The 18,521-nt window shown below is 38.0% G+C and overlaps 1 protein-coding gene across 12 annotated transcripts in view; it reads right to left on the bottom strand.

The window, feature by feature from the left end:
* BICC1 (BicC family RNA binding protein 1) overlaps positions 1-18,521 on the bottom strand; it is a 319,216-nt gene that overhangs the window by 176,377 nt on the left and 124,318 nt on the right. Inside the window, exon 1 of one of the 12 annotated variants that reach the window (XM_005270169.6) lies at positions 6,390-15,315. The exons of the other annotated variants lie outside the window; for them this stretch is intronic. Coding sequence (XP_005270226.1) covers positions 6,390-6,485 — 96 coding nt within the window. The 5' untranslated portion in view covers positions 6,486-15,315. Of the gene's footprint in view, positions 1-6,389; positions 15,316-18,521 lie in introns of those variants that run through there. 12 annotated transcript variants of the gene reach the window in all.

The raw sequence follows: 18,521 nt of genomic DNA, 5'->3' as shown, positions 1-18,521 counted from the left end.
GGTACCAAAACAGAGATATAGATCAATGGAACAGAACAGAGCCCTCAGAAATAATGCCGCATATCTACAACTATCCGATCTTTGACAAACCTGAGAAAAACAAGCAATGGGGAAAGGATTCCCTATTTAATAAATGGTGCTGGGAAAACTGGCTAGCCATATGGAGAAAGCTGAAACTGGATCCCTTCCTTACACCTTATACAAAAATCAATTCAAGATGGATTAAAGACTTAAACGTTAGACCTAAAACCATAAAAACCCTAGAAGAAAACCTAGGCATTACCATTCAGGACATAGGCATGGGCAAGGACTTCATGTCTAAAACACCAAAAGCAATGGCAACAAAAGACAACATTGACAAATGGGATCTAATTAAACTAAAGAGCTTCTGCACAGCAAAAGAAACTACTATCAGAGTGAACAGGCAACCTACAAAATGGGAGAAAATTGTCGCAACCTACTCATCTGACAAAGGGCTAATATCCAGAATCTACAATGAACTCAAACAAATTTACAAGAAAAAAACAAACGACCCCATCAAAAAGTGGGCGAAGGACATGAACAGACACTTCTCAAAAGAAGACATTTATGCAGCCAAAAAACACATGAAAAAATGCTCATCATCACTGGCCATCAGAGAAATGCAAATCAAAACCACAATGAGATACCATCTCACACCAGTTAGAATGGCAATCATTAAAAAGTCAGGAAACAACAGGTGCTGGAGAGGATGTGGAGAAACAGGAACACTTTCACACTGTTGGTGGTACTGTAAACTAGTTCAACCATTGTGGAAGTCAGTGTGGCAATTCCTCAGGGATCTAGAACTAGAAATACCATTTGACCCAGCCATCCCATTACTGGGTATATACCCAAAGGACTATAAATCATGCTGCTATAAAGACACATGCACATGTATGTTTATTGCGGCATTATTCACAATAGCAAAGACTTGGAACCAACCCAAATGTCCAACAATGATAGACTGGATTAAGAAAATGTGGCACATATACATCATGGAATACTATGCAGCCATAAAAAATGATGAGTTCATGTCCTTTGTAGGGACATGGATGAAATTGGAAATCATCATTCTCAATAAACTATCACAAGAACAAAAAACCAAACACCGCATAGTCTCACTCATAGGTGGGAATTGAACAATGAGATCACATGGACACAGGAAGGGGAATATCACACTCTGAGGACTGTGGTGGGGTGGGGGGAGGGGGGAGGGATAGCATTGGGAGATATACCTAATGCTAGATGACGAGTTAGTGGGTGCAGCACACCAGCATGGCACATGTATACATATGTAACTAAACTGCACAATGTGCACATGTACCCTAAAACTTAAAGCATAATAATAAAAAAAAAAAGAAAGAACAATACTTGTAAAAGGATGTGCACTGCCCTGGTTCAAACAAGACGTGTGGATTGAACAGATGGCAGATGAAGACAACACTTCAGCAGTTTTCCATGTTGAACTATTTTGAGTCCAAACTTCACATATTTTGAAGAAATGCTGAACCACATTTTCACTGAAATAAAGCCACTCTTCAGAAGTGGGGTGCACAGTTTGATGCTTATGAAATGGGCTTTAAATTTCTGTGACTGTCTTTGGTGTCCACAGTCTTGGTGTGAATGTGATTTATCAAGCATTTGTCCCATCAGCAGGGCTCAGTTTCTAAAAGAACTGAAAACAAACCAGACCCACCAAGATGATGCAATATCTCTGGAATTTTGGAGACAGCTCCATGAATCCCAAAACTATTTCTGGTTACTTGGCCAAAATCAGGGCAGTGTTTGCTTCTGCCCATCTCAGTGAAAAAGCATTCTCTTTTGTGAAATATGGCAGCTACCATCAGCAGCATAAACCATCAAAATCAATTCAACCTAGCTAAATATACTTCATATTTTAGAGTAACTTAACTTTTAAATACTACACTCTTATTTACTTCATAAAAAAATCAATGATTAGCTCTAAGGTAATAACTTTGTACTAATTTGTTTTCTGTATGTCTCTTACGTTGGTGATTAAACCCCTCACCTGCATGCCCAAAATGTTCCAGTGTATATAACATGGTATCAAGGAAACCTCTGCTCAGCCTCCATGTGTACAGATTTCTAGCTGTGAAGACTTCTACTAACAGCAAACACTGATTCAAAGAAAGGAGGAAAAGAACATTTACTGAACTCCAATTCTGTGCTAGGTGCAGTGCTTACCTTCCTCTATTACACGTGTAAGATAAGTTTAAGAGTTCTAAAATAAGTAAAAAGAAGCCACATTCCACTAGACAGTAATAATATTAAACAATCTCCTCCCCCAAAATCATGAAACAAAAATGTTTAACGAGGTAAACAATATTAAAATTTTATCATCCTTAAAAAATTAAAAGAAAATTAATTCCAAGGTAAGGCAACAAGACATTATATAATTGACCGTGTTACGTGGATAATGATGTATAATTTCAAATCAAAACAATAAATATTTATTGAATGCTAATGATGGGTATTTTAAAACTTACCAAGAAGAGAACTATGAGCAGGTAATCTTTCTGGTAACTACTGTAATCACACATGCATGCAAGTGTGTGTATACAGAACTTCTTCAATTTGCTTTATTATAAATTACTATTATATGTTCAGATTTACGAGCAAAAGACTGTGTCTAGAGCCCCAGACACTGTGCCAAGAGACAGCAATGAGGGTCTGTGAATTAACATATTAATTTGGCTACCGCTAAGGACCTCAAAACTCAGGATTCCCAAATTTTTACTTATCCAAGCAATAATAGTAAATTTTCTTTTTGAGGGTCTATTTCAGCTGCATTTGAAAAATAAATCACAAAACTCTAGAGATGATAGATTGGTTATGTTCATCTAGTTTCTTCATGTTATAGATGAAATGACCAATTTAAAAAAAGGTAAAATGACCTAAGTAACCCAGCTAATAGGTCTCTTGCTTCTCAGTATCAATGCCTCCAACTCCATTTTTGTCTTCTGAACTATTAAATATGAACTTTAAATATGCTTTCTATCTCAGTTCATTACCGAATTTGGAATGGCCCTCTGGGTGGTTCCATAAATTTTAATACCAACAAGGTCTATTGAGCAATTAACATGACTTTTCAACCATCTTAATCCTGTTATCTCAAGAAAAGGATGCACTTTTACTTAATCATGTCTACCTTTGCCAAGCTTACAACAAGATCTCAAGATTTCTAGAAAAGTTATGATTTCAGTCATCCACTATAAATTTGGGGAAATAACTTATTTTCAAATAGAATCACTATTTTATGTAGCAGGTTAAAAAAGACTAAAGCTTTAAAAACACACTGTATTTACTTGGCAACAGCACTCTAGATGTATGTATTTCACCAAGAGGACTGGAGGTGTCTAAAAAAGCACAAAAGAAACAAAAACATAAAATAAAGAACTGAGAGAATCTCATAAGGAAAATCAGGATAGGGAAATAATAAAACAAAGGTTAGGATTGGAACACTGAATTTCACTACACAGGGCTTGAATGGCCGCTATTTTGGGCTGCAAATTTTACTCCCATGTCCCTCAAGCAAAGAGAGAAACAACATCTGAACAGGATTCACATTGTCCATAGCTAAAAAGCAAACCACTCTTTCAGGATGGAAGCACAGATGCTGCTGGTATGAAGATCTGCAGGCAGTTTCCCCGGCGGTTTTTCATAGAGTCCAGTCTGTGATGTGGTGGGTGATGTCCTCCACAATAGTGGTGTGTGCTGGGTCTTTTCTGCTCACTGTCTCGCAACACAGGCAGATGGCCTCATGCCAAATAAAACCAAGACAGACAACCCATCTCACTGTGCAGAGGAAGTATTTGTGAACAAGGCCAAAATCTCCCTTAGAGAAGAGTCTGGCTTTACTCCAACTTCCAGACAAATGGGCAATTAAGGTCACAAAGCTTAGAGCGTGGTAGCAATCATTTTAGCCTGGAAAGTGCTCAGGGCAGGCATTCCTCATCGTCTACAAAAGTAATTTGTAAGCTGGGAGTGGGGTGAGGAGGGAGCCCAGTAGTTTTTTGGTCTTTAAAAAGCATGATTCCACAAACTCTAACAGAAGTGTTACCATTAACATTTGTATGTCTTGTAAATTTTCAAAGACTGACTGCAGTTGGTTTCACCTTCTCCTACCAAGACATCTTTTCATTTTGACTTATTTATTTATTTTTAACAAGGGGAGCTCCAGGTTAACTTGAAAAGCTTATAAAAAGGATACGAGGAGCCTGAGTTTTATTGAAAAGAAATTATAAGCCAAGGAGGAATGAATGAATATGAGTGTGCTGCACATAATAAATGCAGTAATAAACAAGTCTGACTTAGCAAAATAAGCTATTTCAGTAAAGCCTACTCTAGGCTAGTAACACAAAGTAGCTTGAGGTCTGGAATTAGAATCCTGACAGCCCCATTTGAGCCATGAATAAGAATAGTGTAGCCAATGTTCCATGGATGATAGGCACAACCCCTTGAAGACAGGGTCATCCTGACTGGACTGCAAGCCCCTCACATAGTCCAAACAGTTGAAGGCTGATACAACCAGCTCACTAAAATAATCATCATTTGGTGGGGATAGGACACCATCACTGTTTTTAACTGTGCTCTCTGGAATCCCTCTTTCTCATGTATTAACATTAAGGTAAGATTCCATAAAGTTCTGGTCACTTGTAGTATCAGAAACTCAGTCCAGTGAAATGTAACACTCCACTCTCATAACCAGTTAATTCAAAGTTAACCTACTCCACATGACCAGCTAGAGTTAACAGCTCAGGAAACTCAGGTTTGCAAGGGAGGCAGTGGAGTAAAGGAAGAAGACAGGGAGAAAGAGACAGAGAGAGGAAATATACATTAGGAATGGCACTGTTCTTTTCTCCTTTCAAACTTCTTCAGGGCTGCAGATCATCTCTTCAGTAGATAGTGACTAGCATCGTTAATGTAAGAGAAAACAAGACAAAATGATAAGGTTATATTACATATAAGTATTGTTTCATGAAATGTTGTTTCATTATTTTTATGTAGCTACGTAGTGAGTCAAGTAGTGGGTCAATATATTTCTTACGGTTATATTCAAAAAAATATTTGAAAGTGATTTATCTCAATATTGGGTGGTAGGGCAGTACAAGTACAATGTGGTAGTGATAGCATGGTCTTGGAAGCCAGACCCCCTGAATCCAAATCCTAGGTAACAAACCTTTCTGTGCCTTAGTTCCTATACATGCAAAAGAACAACAGTAGAACCTATGTAATCCCATGTTGCTAGAAGGATTAGATGAGCCAATATCTGGAAAGCCCATGGAATAGTACCAATAGAGATTAGCTATTCAGAGGAAAAAGGGATCAAAGAAAAAGCAAATATCTCCTTACTTACCTGGATGCAGTCACAATTCTCTTTCCACTGCTTCCCAGTGCTTCTCTAATATTAACTGGCTGCTGACAGCCTCCACAGGTGCAGCTCTCTCGTGGGAGTTGAAGAGTTTTTTTTAAAAGACACCCATGAGGGTTCCCATTGCATACTTCACTAACATGAGAAAATCGGTATCTCCCATGTCTCCTTACCCTCTGATACCAGCAGAATATCTGATGGTCTCTAGTTGCTGGGCTTTACTAACCTAGCAGGCAGGCTTCGTGGGTGGGTTATCAGAGAGAGAGCACAAGCCCAGCTTCATTCAGTGATACCTACTTGACTTATGCTACACTGCGGGAGAGTTTCTCCCCAATTCTCTCTTCAAGTCTCTTTTCATAGGCATTGGGGCACATCAACAAGTCTGTCACTTAAGCAGTTGTGCAACCAGGGAAAGAAACTCTGGCCTCCTCCTCTTGTAGACATGCCCAATATTTAAGAGAGATTTCCTTGGAAAGTTCTTTCTCCCAAGAGATCATCTACTCGCCTTTATGGGGCCTACCCATTTCCCACCACTTTTATCACCAATGACTTTGTACTTCTTTCTTCTCTCTTTAATCTTCTTATTGGGGAGAAGGTGTTCAGGGTAGTAGGGTGGTTTGTAATAGTGGCTGTTGTTATTAGAGAAGTTTCTGCCACCTCTCATTAAGTGTGAAGGAGAAGTGTATGCCTTCAAGTGTTGGCAGATCTTTCAAAGCACTCTTCAGAATGCCAGGGCCACATGGCTCTCCATTCTGAATCTTAGTTGCCAATTATGGGATAACAAGCAAGGTCCTACTCAAATCATGTGATACTAACATGCATAGTGCAACTATCAAGAGAAAATGAAAAAGCAGAAAGGAAAGAGAAAAGCAGAGTGATCAGGAGTCATCATGATTAAGATAAAAGACAGGAGTAGCAAGTAGCATTATGGTCAAACAACAGAGAGGATTTCCAACAGTGTAGAGGCATTCTGTACCTTAGCGTTCTGATGCCTAAAGATATGAGATCCTCTGTGTGTGTCTCTGTAAGAGAGAAAGAGAGAGAGAAAGAGAGAGAGAGAGGCACTAAACATACCATTGTTCCCTCCATATCATAGCCTTTGAAAGCAACAGACATATTTATAGGAATACACTAAGTCCGAGTGGAGTGGCCAGCATACAAGAGTATTCTACATGCCAGAGAACATAACTCTGTGTATAATAAATGCCTTTTTTGGCTTAGATTCAAAAGCCTCTCTGGCAAAGGACAGAGAGAAATGACATTTAACATAGGTGAACACAAAAAACACTGAAGGATCAGTACAAGGGTGAAGCACTGAGTTGTGTACAATCTGTTACATATGAGAACACAGTTCAAAGAGGGCAGTTGTGAAAATATTTTTATATATAACAGCATCTACAGCTGCAAAACACTACACCCTCCTAAAGCAGACGGCTTCAGCCATGCTCTACCGGAGGAGACAGTCTTGGTCAAAAGAGCAGACACTGCCCTTACTTATGCCTAATGGCCTGCTAGAAAAGCAAAGCATTTTTTTTTAAATGCAGTTGATTGTGTCATGTGTATTTCCGAAAATCTTTTCTAATTAAAGTAAGGCAAGAAACCACCAGATCAAGTTAAGACAATAACTTAGCATGTCATAAAGGTAGAAAAAAATATGTGGTTTCTGGAAAATGCATTACTAATGCAGTGTATTCTCCAACAGTTTACAACACTTACAAAATCAGTAGATGATGGACCATGCTTATCAACTTTCTCTGTAATTCTGGTCACAGCTAAACACTGAAGGAAGCTGGAGAAAAATTCAGCTAGTTTCATGTTTGCAGAGCCATGCTTCCTTTACGTGATTATACACATTTTTTTTTTTTTCTGAGAAAGCCCTCTTCAAATCCCTTAAGCACACATTCTTGCAATGGTGCAGGGTAGCTCTTTAAACCCCATCAAAAAGATTGAAAAGTAGCTATGAGCAGCCAAAGAGGGTTCTGGGATTTGGAAAAGTCTTATATTTCAATGTGCTGACAAGTGAAAAGACACAGGTTATCGTGAAGATGATGGTTTTTAGGAGTGTGGAAAAATCACCTTGGGGAAAAAAATCACTCACTCTTTGATACTGTAACCACTATGATTCATTTCTCTGGATTCCAGATAAGTAGCATTTTATGGTATTAAAATGCTTCTGAAACTCATGAATTATCTTTAAGTTCTTCCAAACTTCTGAAATAAGCTAAAGGCCAAAGATTTTTGGTTCTCCAAAGCAGCGAAGTTATTTTGACATTCATGCTCTTTCCTAAAATAATACACTTTCAATGTTTTATGAACTAAATTTCTTACAGTAGAAATTTGGAATATTCTGTTTTCAATAGTTACTATAGGCAAATAGTGAATGTTTAATGCTACTTTTCTTACTAAATAAAACAATGATATTTTTTGATGTGAGACTATAACTAAAAAGGATTTTGTAAATCTGTATTTACGAACAAGAAAAGTTGATGGTTAGAAAAAAACAGAATACAGACTAGTTTACAGAGTAAATGACAATTAAATTAAAGTGGTATATGCAGGTATATCTACCATAGGAAGATGATTAGAAAGATGCTTCCAAAATGTATAACAGTATCTTTGGGGAGAGAATTTGGCTGTTCTTTACTTCCTGCTGTGGATTTTTCTGTAATTTTTTTCTTTCTATAAGTATATACCATTTTTACTTAAAAACAGAAAGGAAAGAAAGAGAGAAAGAAGGAAAAAGGCTATGTTTCCAAATAGAATATTAACCTACGAAAAGAAATACCTTCTGTTGTATTTAAAACTAGCATGTCAACCCCCTAAAATTGACTGTAGTATTTAATTTAAAAAAAATCAGGAACAGGCAAGAAAGAAAGAACATATATCTCCCAACTACAGCACTACCTACTTGTTAACATTTTTCACAAGAATCTCCATGGCCTAAAATAAAATTGTTTCTCCCGTCATTTCGGCTATGAGTTTCCTAAGAAGTTCTATACAGGAGGCACAGAGATATCATGCTAGTCTCAATCAAAATGTTCCAGACACATGAGACTAAATATAAAGGGTTAATAGTAATAAGAGGTTATACATGCAGAAGGAAATCCATACCCTCATTTTTAGGTAATGAATATCCAAATACAATGCAGACAGCCTGCAAGACCCTAAAACCTTTTTTAAAGAATATATGATAGTCATAACTTACTAGAAAATATGGTAAAACTGTTACTATATTATGGAGACTTTTAGCCCAAACAAATAGGTCATTTACTACCACTACAAGTCAGGATAAATATTTTGCAATCTTATCCCAGCTGTGCATGCTTACTCTATGTGGAAGGAAAATTATATTTATTAGCACTTTGCCCCAATATGATCAACGCATTTAAAAGATGCTGACTTTTAAACTGTTAGCCTTCAAAATTAGTCTGCATTTCCCATCTATTAGTAAATGGCATAATACTATTCTTAGGAAAAGCTGGCCTGGACAAGTAGTGGAAAACAAAAACGAATGAACAAACAAAAAATAAGGAAATGGACAGATCTATGGTTAAACAGTTCTTCAGGAAAAAAAAAAAAAAGCATTGCAAATCTAATTGCTATTCCAGAAAAACAAGGGTTTCTTCAGTTTCTCTGGCATTGTTCCAAATTCATCCAGCAAAGTTATTTAAGTAAAGGACTGACCATAACTGCGTATGTGAGGGTTCTGTTCATTTGCCAGAGGAAAGAGAAAGATACAATAAGCATAAACTCAGCAGGAAAATTCAGTGATCAGAAAGGAGAACACCAAATAAAAAGGCAACTGCTTCTGGCAAGATGGAGTTGTTTTCTTTATATAGTTTCTATTCAACTTCAAGGCAGTTCAAATGATCTGCCCACAATCTTGGACAATGTGCCTTCGTTTAAAGTTAGTCAACTGGCCTCCTGGCGAAGAAAATTTAACTTCATGACTGCCGCAAAATGCCAATGGGACTGCTGGCAGAAGTATTCTGTATTTCGAGTTCAAATAGTAATAGGGTTTACTACACTGCGAGCCAGGATCACAAAATATAAATGGAGAAACCAGCCAGGTTAGATGCTTGGGAAATGTCTTTTGTGTTTGTTGAAGTCTGCCTAGCAACTACTGGCAATTTTTGAAAGCACGTTCATCCTGGAAAAATAAATACCTGCCAAAATGCCAATCTGGTTCTAATTGCATACCTTTTCCCTCTTTTTTTTTTTTTTTTTTTTTTTTTTTTTGAGATGGAGTCTCGCTCTGTCGCCCAGGCTGGAGCGCAGTGGCGCGATCTCGGCTCACTGCAAGCTCCGCCTCCCGGGTTCACCATTCTCCTGCCTCAGCCTCCCGAGTAGCTGGGACTACAGGCGCCCACCACCACACCCAGCTAATTTTTTGTATTTTTAATAGAGACAAAGTTTCACCGAGTTAGTCAGGATGGTCTCGATCTCCTGACCTCGTGATCCACCCACCTCGGTCTCCCAAAGTGCTGGGATTACAGGCGTGAGCCACCGCGCCTGGCCACCTTTTCCCTCTTTAAAACATATCATGAGCTTCCCTACTTTGACCTAGGGTACTACAAAGTGTAAGAAAGAGGGTGTGTATTGGTGGGGCGGGGAGTTCTTTCTGTCCATATAAAGAAAATTTTTTTTGTTTAGACACAGACTAAACCTTTTAGAATGTGAACATAATACTATTTGATGACCTTTTATTGTTATTAAGAACCGGTATTTAAAAGTAACCCCAGCTCTGACTTAAAATATATATAGGCATACTTTTGAACATAAACTTAAAAAATCAAAATGATAGGCAAAATCTATCACTGCTTTTAACTTAAATTTTTAATCAAAAAGGCACAGTAGAAATATTATGAGATTTCAAATAACTTTACATGAAAGGTTATTTTTTTCTTTTTATAAGCTTGCCCTTCCTGACAACGTTGGCCAAATTAAATTCAATTCAATTTTCGAAGCTTAAGAACATTTAAAAAGTTAAAACAAGAAAATACTTATCCTTATCTAGTTTTTTCGATCACTCTAACGTGGCCCTAGATGTACAATTCCATGGAGCCTAAAGGGAGCCAGCTGTGGAATTGCCACAAGGCACGTATAGGATACACATGCCTTAAACAAAAACCAGAGACTTCCCAGGCACGGGGACGGGTGGAGTTCTGTTTCTGTGCTGCACAGACTAACAGGAGAAAAGGATCGATTGTTTTAGGGAGTTGACTCAAAAGAGCTAAACTGTCTTCCTTACACAACTTCTGGGTCTCAGGTAGAAGAATCGGGGCCAGGCACACAGGGAGTGGTAGCCAGGCAAACCTGGCCAAGTCAGTCAAAGTCTTTGAGCCAATTTTCTTTCTCTAAAATAAGAATAAAGCCACGCGGTTTCCCTGAGAATTGAGAGATCTCTTCTGTAGCAAGTGCCCTAGTATGATGCTTAAAACATTATAGGTACTTGGGAAAGAGTAGCTATGTGTTGTAACTGGTGCTACTGTAATAATTATTAGCAATAATAATATTCTAAAGGCCAGATAACCACCTTATCTAACTCAGCTGGGAGAAATTCATGGAGGACTGACAGGTATATATCTCATCGTAGATATTCCAAAAAAATTTCTAACTTTTTTAGAACTGATTTAAGTCATATTAGCACACAATAGAAAGCAAACTATATTATTTCCTATACTGACACATAACAGGAAACAACCATATTTCAGCAGGGTAGGTGCTGTTGAGGACATATTCTGCCAGACACACACTGCAGTGTCTCATTAGGTAATTAACAGAAGCTCCTCCAAGGTTCCTGTAGCAATAAAGCCTGTGATCTTCCAGAGCCACTAATTTATTTTTAATCTCATGGACCTTGTGGTTCTCCTAAATGGTCAGGCTTCCTTTTCTGCTGTGGCCATGGAGGAAGCTCAGATCCTGTTGGTGTGTGTTGTGTACAAATCTTATTGTTCCTCCTCTCAAATTATTTTCCAACACTTATTTTCCCTTCACAACAATTTCCTCTTCTATTTATTTTTCAGTCTGTATTACTAAATGTAAATTGTTAAGCCACTTCAAACCCCTTTTTGGAACAAAGGATAAAATAATGTACTGTAAGTCCTGACCATTCTGCTATTCAGAATTCACTCTAAAAATACAAGAATTCTATCATTCAACCTAGCCCAGCCAAGCTCACATTTAGAGGTAGCTAAAAGATTTCTCTGATGGACAGGTGGTGATTGACAACTAAAGAGGAACTTTCTTCAGAGAATACCTGGGAAATTTGACAAAATTCAATGCAAAGGAAGAAGATAGCAAAGAGCTCTGTAATCAGAACAAGGCCATCAAATCACTGAATGTAGCCAAATGCTCTTGGACACATACAGCTGTCACATAAGCAAGAGTATTATCCCTCTCTTGAATGCTTCTGTCCCGATCTGAGAGTGACATCATCACAAAGCCTTCAGAGGACTAGCCAGCCACAGGGATTTCAATTCCCCAGTTTTTAAGCTGAAGGTTTAAGTAATGATTAGCTGAGAAAGCCAAAAAATACAAGATTTTATTCATTAGTGTTCAAGAGAAGAGACATCTGGTTTACAAACCTCTTTGGTAAATAACACCTTGCAGACATTAAGTTTACAAGAATAATAAAGACAGGGCCAGACGCAGTGGCTCATGCCTGTAATCCTAGCACTTTGGGAGGCCGAGGCAGGAGGATTGCTTGAGCCAAGGAGTTTGCGACTGGCCTGGGCAACAAAGACCCCATCTCTACAAAAATAGTAAAAAAAATTAGCCGAGCATGGTTGCACACACATGTAGTCCCAGCTACTCAGGAGGCTGAGTGGGGAGAATTGCCTAAGCCCAGGAGGTCAAGACTGCAGTAAGCCGTGATCACATCACTGCACTCCAACCTGGGTGGCAGAGCAAGATCCTGCCTCAATAATAATAATAATAATAATAATAATAATAATAATAATAATAATAATAATAATAAATGGTTCATATTGTCAGGAGCATATGTGTTTTTGGTGACTGGTGCAATAGAATGATGGGTTGTACAGTCAACCACACTTTCCTGGGAGACCACTGGCTGAGTGGAACAGAAAGGATGACTGCACAGCTAGACGTTGAGGGCACGGTTTTGCAAATGTTCTCAAGTCACCAGGAACTCATTACAGGAAAAGTTCCATGACATTCCAGGAATAATGCCAACCTAGAACTCATCATTCTGACCTCTTCCTCTAACCAACCAAAGTCACTCTTCCACACCCTGGAACACAACACATAGAGATTTAATAAACATTTCAGGGAAGACAAGCTAAGATCTACATAATGACAGTACTCAGTACATGAAAACACCCCCAGCCTCTTTCGGAACTCAGGAATAAGAAGCCACCATGAGTAGCTGCTGTTCATTTTCATTCACCCCGAAAGTGCAGAGCCTAACTCACACCTCACAAAATGCAGATACTTCCCTGGGCTATTTTCCAGGTATTCAGCACTTACCAATTAATTAATAATTCTAAATGCCAGCTTTAGAGTAACTATTTACTATTCACTTAAATGTGCAAAGCTGGCCTTGAAGAGACCTGGCTATTCCAGTTTTACTATAAACTTGCAGCACTGCTATTACAATTTCAAATTGTGTCTTCCCTGCAAGATATTTTGTAACTATGTTTCAATGTTAAATTATTTTCTCTGAAAACATGTGGCCATTTAGACGTCAAAATAGCAACGTTAGGTACATTCATACTGCTGTGATTCACATTCCAACACAATGTGAATCACAATGTGAATTCCTAACACAATGTGAATCCCAACAATGCTAACACCACTAGACTGTATACTTAAAAATGGTTAAAATGGTAACTTTTATGTGTGTTTTACCACAATTTCTTGAAAAAAGAATCTCTCAAAAGAGGTTTTATCTATATAACCACATTGTTAACCCCACAGCCAACTCATTCTCCATTACAAAGTACAGAGGCTATAAAGTTTCCTAAAATACAAATGATAACCTTCGCTGTATTATTAGAACTTAAAATTACAAATGATTAATCTCTCTAAGACTAGTCAATACTCGAATAGCCAAGGGTATGAAGGCACCACCATACCATTTCTACTGAGCTATTTTCATTGCTTGAAATGTATTTGGTAATAGTGTTTGTTCCAGGAAAGCAAAAAAAAAAAGGAAAGAAAAAAAAGAAGTCAACCTAGATGGCGCCAAATCATCTCCTAACCTCAGGAAGACAAACATCTGCCTCTGAATCTGCAATAAGTCCTAGAAAAATTCCAACATGAAGCAAGGGCACGACGGCAAAACCACAATGCAAGTGTTGCCCTGATTTAAAAGGCAAACAAAACCCCGAGCCTGTCCAACACAGAGTAGATAATGAATAGCAGCCATCGCATGATAGAGCTTCCCAAAATCATTTCCTGGGGATTGCACTGTTAGCAACCCCTGTGGTTGCTCTATAAAAAGAAATTATTTACCAACTGCCTTGACATCATAGGTAATGGAATAATACATCAAATGAGATGCTTCATTTTTCCTGCTGAGGCTCAGCTCTAAGGAATGTATTATTGTTTTGGAAGAATTGTAAAAGAATTCCAATAAAGACAATTGAAAGAAAATACAATTATATCCTCAATGGGCAAGAATTTTTAAATGTGTTTTTCTAAGTGGAAAAGCAAAGAACTGCTTTTGAAAGTTGAAATAGACACTTAAGAAAGCTTTTTATCTATCCAAAGCAAGTGATGAAAATTTAGCTGTCCCTCAAAATTATTTTGTTTAAAAATTGAAGAGCTTTTTACTTGATGTGTTCACCATGTAATAGGTCCCTTCCAAGTTGTTTCTTTCGTAGACACATTATAATCAGTAATTATTCTATCTACTCATTTCTCTATACTTTGTCTGCATTCTTCAGTGAAATTTATGTTTGCTCCATAATGGCAGAATCCATGTCATAACTGCTCACCACTGTATTCCAAAGGCCCAACTCAGTACCTGCCACACACTAGTGGGCTCAAAAACAATTTTTGGTGAGTAAATGCACAGTTAATTGAGTATCCCATGGCTGCAATAACCATCTTAGGGTTTAACAAATGTCTATAAGCTGCATATGTAAATATTTTTGGTCTCAGAGATTTAAGAGGTCACAAAGGGAAGAAGGGCAGTCCATAATTTATTTAAAATCTAACTTAAGTTATAACACCTTAAGACTTTGCATGTAAAAAAGCCACAATGCAGCTTTCTTCAGTATGGATAAGGATTAGTTATTGCATTTCATGACAGCCCTACCTGTTTATAGGTAAACATTTTGGTACAAACACTCTATTATAACTTTGGTTTCTTCCTATACAACTGACACCTTTTTATATCCAAATAGCAAATAAAATGCTCGAGGAATGTTGTCAGTAAACACAGGCAGGGCATATAATGTAAATCCAGAACAAAACTACAGTGTGGATTCAATTCTTTTTCCAACCCAATCTTTTCTAAGAAGCTTATATTGCTTAATTTACTGATCAGTACTCCCATCAGAAAAAAAAGAATAAAAAGTAATGTTATCTTATGCTTACTGAAAAATTACCATTTCTGTCCAAAATTTGGTTAACAAGATCTTAGGGATGAGGCTCAGGGAAAATCATAAACTCTTTGTTGCACTGGACCCCGTTTCTCAATACTACACTGCATTTGAGAAGATTACACTGGATTAATTTCAATGGCAGCCAGTCTGGGCAACATGGCGAAACCCTGTCTCTACAAAAAATACAAAAATTAGCCAGGCATGGTGGCACATGCCTTTAGTCCCAGCTACTCGGGAGGCTGAGGTAGGAGGATCACTTGAGCCTGGGAGGTTGAGGCTTCATTGAGCCAAGATGTACCCCAGCCTGGGAGACGAAGGACCCTGTCTCAAAAAAAAAAAAAAAAAAAAAAATTTGGCCGGGCACAGTGGCTCATACCTGTAATTCCAGAACTTTGGGAGGTCAAGGCAGGTGGATCACCTGAGGTCAGGAGTTCGAGACCAGGCTGGCCAACATGGTGAAACCCCATCGCTACTAAAAATACAAAAAAAAAAAAAAAAAAAAACAATTAGCTGGGTGTGGTGGCAGGCGCCTGTAATCCCAGCTACTACTTGGGAGGCTGAGGCAGGAGAATTGCTTGAACCCAGGAGGCAGAGGTTGCAGTGAGCCGAGATTGCACCACTGCACTCCAGCCTGGGTGAGTGTGAGACTCTGTCTCAAAAAAAAAAAAAAAAATTTAAATGGCAGACTCACCACTGATGATCTTCTTGTTGCCCTACTTCACTGGGGAATTTAGGAAAATAAAAGCTTTGGCAAATATAAAAGTGCTACATAAATCTCACATTGAAAACAAATATGCTCTGTGAGCTGCTTCTTGGACACTATTTTGATTTATTGGGAACACTTAGGGTATAGATATGGATCTTCTGCACACTAAAAAAATTTTCAGTTAGGAGGAATAATTCAGAGATCTATTATACAACATGGTGACTAGTTAATAACAATGTATTTTATACTTGAAAATTGCTGAGTAGATTTTAGGTGTTCTTACCACAAAAAAGATAATTATATGAAGTAATGCATACGTTAATTAGCTTGATTTAGCTATTCCACAATGTACATATATACAATGAAATATGTACACCATAAATATATACAATTTTTATTTGTCAACTGCAAGAAAGAAAAAGATGAAAGCAAACGAGGGAGGGAGGGAGGGAAGAAAAAGGAAAAGAAAAGAAAAAAGAGAAGAGAAAAAAGAGAAGAGAAAAAAGAAAAGAAAAGAAAAGAAAAAAGAATTTCAAAGCTTTAGAGACCATATGCTTAGTTCTACCCCTCCTTTGACGAATAACGGAACCAGAGGCCTTGAAGAGATACCCAGTGCCGGGACTATCTCTGCCTGCTTTCTCCTCATTGGTGCTCTTTTCACAACAAGCGGTGGCTCTTATTGGTACAAGTAGCCTCTGGGCATCCTTTCTCATCACCCCCTGCCACAAAACCCAGAGAAGGCTGATGAGGCACACACAGCTCTTGGGAATAAGAGGACTTTCAAGTCTGTGAACTCTGGGTGACCCATGTGTAGACCAGTGTCTACATTTCAGAAGCACTGAGACCAAAAAGGGGAGAGGCGTTGGGGAAAGGAGCCTGAGACAGGGAGAAAGCAAAGAAGGCAAGAGTCAAATAAACGAGCCTTTTTTCCTTTAACTGCAGCTTGAGTTAGTCCAATTCAGAACCACATTTTGAAAAGAATACACTTATCCCCACATTTCCTATTTGACATTTTTAAGCTGTTTTTTTCAAATGGCCTTTTTTTTTAACTCTGTAATTACTTACCATAAAGTACAGATGTTATTTTCTATAACATTAAAGAGATGAATAAGAAAACTCCTGGCTTACAGGCAATTCTACATGAACCCTCAATTTCTGGAATGCAAGTTAATTCCTAATAAGTCACTATTTCCAGCCCTGCTCTGTTACTCTAAACCTTACCACCTAGACTTAAAAGTCATCGTATTAGTTAAAATTACATTCTTTTTTTCCTCCAAAACAGCCCTCCTGCTAGATGTTACTATGTCTGTCATTTAGTATTAGAAACTTTAAAATCCACTTCATTCCACTACATCCTACATCCAAGATTCTTCCTTCTAATTTCCTAATATCAGTCCCTTTATCTTCCTGTTCGCATACCTCCCCCAAATTCCCAGGCCTTCTGTACCTTACTGGTCCTGTTTAAGTGATTCCCCTGGCTATCACAGTGCTTAGTTACTAGATCCCCTCTGGTCCACCATGCCTGTCCCAATTTATAAGTTATGCCACTGGTACCTATACTGATCCTCAACAAACTACCTCTACTCACAGCCAATAACTGACAGAATCTACTATGTTATCATGTTTTACAGAGCTCTAACACAGTGCCCTGCATTCAATATTCTATAAAAGCTTTCATAACAATAAAGATGAAAGGCTCCCACTATTCATACCAGTAAGATGTAGAAGGGAAAGTTAATGAGTAGCCCTGGAAGGACTTTCATCATCTTATAGCAAAGGGCTGTAAAGCCAAAAGCTGAAAGCAAAGCGTGCGTGAGGAGGGAAGACAATGAACATCAGAACCAGCGGCAAATTCTTGTGGCTGAGACACGAAACGTTCTTTGAGCCACAGAGAGAACTGGCAGCTCCTGAAACAAGAAGTTTCTTGGATTTTCTTTTTATGCCATGCTGCCAAGCAAAACAAATATTTTTGCATCCTAAATGAAAGTTCAGTTTACCCTGATAATTCTTTATTGGTAGCAAACCTCATCTAACCACAGCCTATCAGTTTCTGACAATTTTCCATTTCATAACAAAGGAAAAAACATATTTCTAATAGCAACCAACTATCCTATTACATGAGAACTTAACCACCACCTCAAAAGAAAAGAAAAAAAATCTTCACTCGAGAAGGAAATGTTTTTATTCTAAAATGCAAAATACATAAACATATTTAAATAAAAGGAAACCAACAAATGGAATTTTTCCCCATATAAGAATCAAGAAAGTAGTATCCCCAAATAAAAGTTACGATCACAGCTTTAAACTGAGACAAATTGCCAAAAATATTATAGAACTGTGTGTGGTTTTTTTCAAGCAACTAAAGATATGGAAGGTGCCTCATCCTACATCAGCCACACAGCCTTCCCCCCAGCCAGAGGATGCAAACACTAGAATGAAAGGGTCTTCTCTAAAGAATCAAATCATCTCTCGCATTTGCTCAATGCTTTACTGTTTATAAAGCACTTTTGAGTGCATATTTCAACCAATTTTAACATCAATTCTATGAGGAATTATCCCCATTTTCTAAGCAGGAGAACTGAAGCTCAGTTGTCAAATGACTTGCCCAAGATTTCACAGCTGGTGACTGTACTGGAATTCAAAGCCAGAACTCATGGCTCCTAGTTCAGTATTCTTCATAGTATTAACATCTCTTATTTGTTACATTCACTTATTGATTCAAAATGACAGCCTGGCATGAATTGGGGAAGGAAAAAAGGGAGAAGGAGGAGGAGGAGGAGGAGACAATGATGTGTATGGAAGAATGCATATCATCATCCGCTCTGGA

Source organism: Homo sapiens, chromosome 10 (genome assembly GCF_000001405.40).
Source record: "Homo sapiens chromosome 10, GRCh38.p14 Primary Assembly".
Lineage (NCBI taxonomy): Eukaryota > Metazoa > Chordata > Mammalia > Primates > Hominidae > Homo > Homo sapiens.
The sequence above is the reverse complement of the archived record's forward strand: the minus strand, read 5'-3'. Positions and strand labels throughout refer to the sequence as shown.